Consider the following 1,767-nt stretch of genomic DNA (forward strand, 5'->3'; position numbering starts at 1 on the left):
CCCAGAGAGGTAGTGAGGACTAACCTGAAGTTACACAGCTGGTGAGACACACAGTTGGATAATACTACAGATATCATGGATGACTTTTATACCATCTTACACTGTTAAAAACTCAGAGACAATCAGTACATAGAATTGCCGCACTGCAACCACAAAGTGATTCAGGTGTTGAAAGTACTGATCTTTGGTATTATTTTCACATCATAGTAATGGCATATAATGTTTGGAAACATATTATATGCCTATTATAACTACTTCATATTATAATGTAGAACTTAGCTCAATTTTAATGTTCAAGAACTGTCAAATAAATGTCCATTATTCATTGTTTGACAGTTATGAATACTTTCTTTTCCCTTTCCTGGCTTAGACATCTTCAAGAATTAATCATTACACTCAGCTTTGTTGGTAGTGAAAAGAAAACAAGTGAAAATCTCAAAATATACCACTTTAAATATGCCATCCCTGTTAAATGTCCACATTTACACACCTGCATTGTGTGCAACTCTTTGGATTCTGTCCTCTGCCTGCATCGGGCTTCCTATATCCTTATCGCTTTCAGCCTCTCCTTTCTCCCATCTCAAAGATTTATCCGTACCTCCCTACTGGTGTCCCCTGGATCCTCATTGCCCAGCTTCCTCCTCCCTTGTCAGATGTAGCCTCTTTACTGTCATTCATTTGTACATCCATCCAATCCACAAATATTTCTTGAACTCCAGCTATATGCAAGCTCTTGTGCAAGAAGCTGTGGGATTACACAAAGCTGTGGGGTATTGTCAGAGATGCTTCTTCCCCACCTCCAATTCAACTTTACACCTCACAGGGTAAGCTGTAACAATTACAGATTGCTTTGCGGCCAGGTGCAGTGGCTCAGGCCTGTTGTAATCATAGCATTTGGGAGATCAAGGTGGGAATATCCCTTGAGCTCAGAACTTGATGACCAACCTGGGCAACATAGACTGTCTTTACTAAAAATTAGCTAGGTGTGATGGCACACATCTGTAATCCCAGCTACCCAGGAAGGAGGCTGAGGTGGGAGGATCGCTTGAGCCTGGACATCCAAGCCTCAGTGAGCCATGATCACACCACTGTACTCCTGGACAACTGAGAAAGACTCTCTCTCTCTCTCTCTATCTATCTATCTATATATGCATATATATAATATTATATATATAATACTTTAGATAACTAAGTTACATACTATATATATAACTATGCAAAAGTTGGTCAGACTGGAGTAGTGATGAGAGTGATAATGGCCAACAGTGATTCAGAATCGTTTGACTCTATTGGACGAGGGGACTGGTTAATAGAACTAACTAACCAGAACTATTTTGTTCTGTTAACCCATCCCCTCATCTAATAGAGTATAAACCTCAATATAAGCTCAACTAGGCTGAGTAAGGCCAAACAAGCAGTCCCCTAGTGTCAGACCAGAGAGAAAAAGTGATGAGAATTTTAAAAATCTTTGCAATCAATGTCAGTGGTGGTTGAGAAGACCTTCTGAAGGGAGACTATGTGATGAAGGATTACGAAGTGAAAGAAATGGTCAGCATATTGTTTCCATTGAAAAGACAGAAAATCTTAAATCCAAGGTCATGTTCCTGGCCTTGCTACTGACCTGTAGGCAACAACTCACTGAGTTTCAGACAGCAAGTCTCTCTTCTAACAAACAGCTGACAACACCTCCTCTTAAGTATTACCCAACCTCTGGCCCCAAAGCACTCCTCAGTCCTCCAGTGCTACAATAAGTCATAATGATTACTC

At 40.4% G+C, this 1,767-nt stretch overlaps 1 non-coding gene across 1 annotated transcript; it reads left to right on the plus strand.

The window, feature by feature from the left end:
• The first annotated feature begins 1,287 nt into the window (after nucleotides 1-1,287).
• Nucleotides 1,288-1,365, plus strand: MIR4652 (microRNA 4652). Its single transcript, NR_039796.1, has one exon. It is a non-coding gene; the product is annotated as a microRNA 4652 (primary transcript).
• Nucleotides 1,366-1,767: the final 402 nt, after the last annotated feature.

The sequence above is a fragment of the Homo sapiens genome, chromosome 7, assembly GCF_000001405.40.
Source record: "Homo sapiens chromosome 7, GRCh38.p14 Primary Assembly".
NCBI classification, from domain to species: Eukaryota; Metazoa; Chordata; class Mammalia; order Primates; family Hominidae; genus Homo; species Homo sapiens.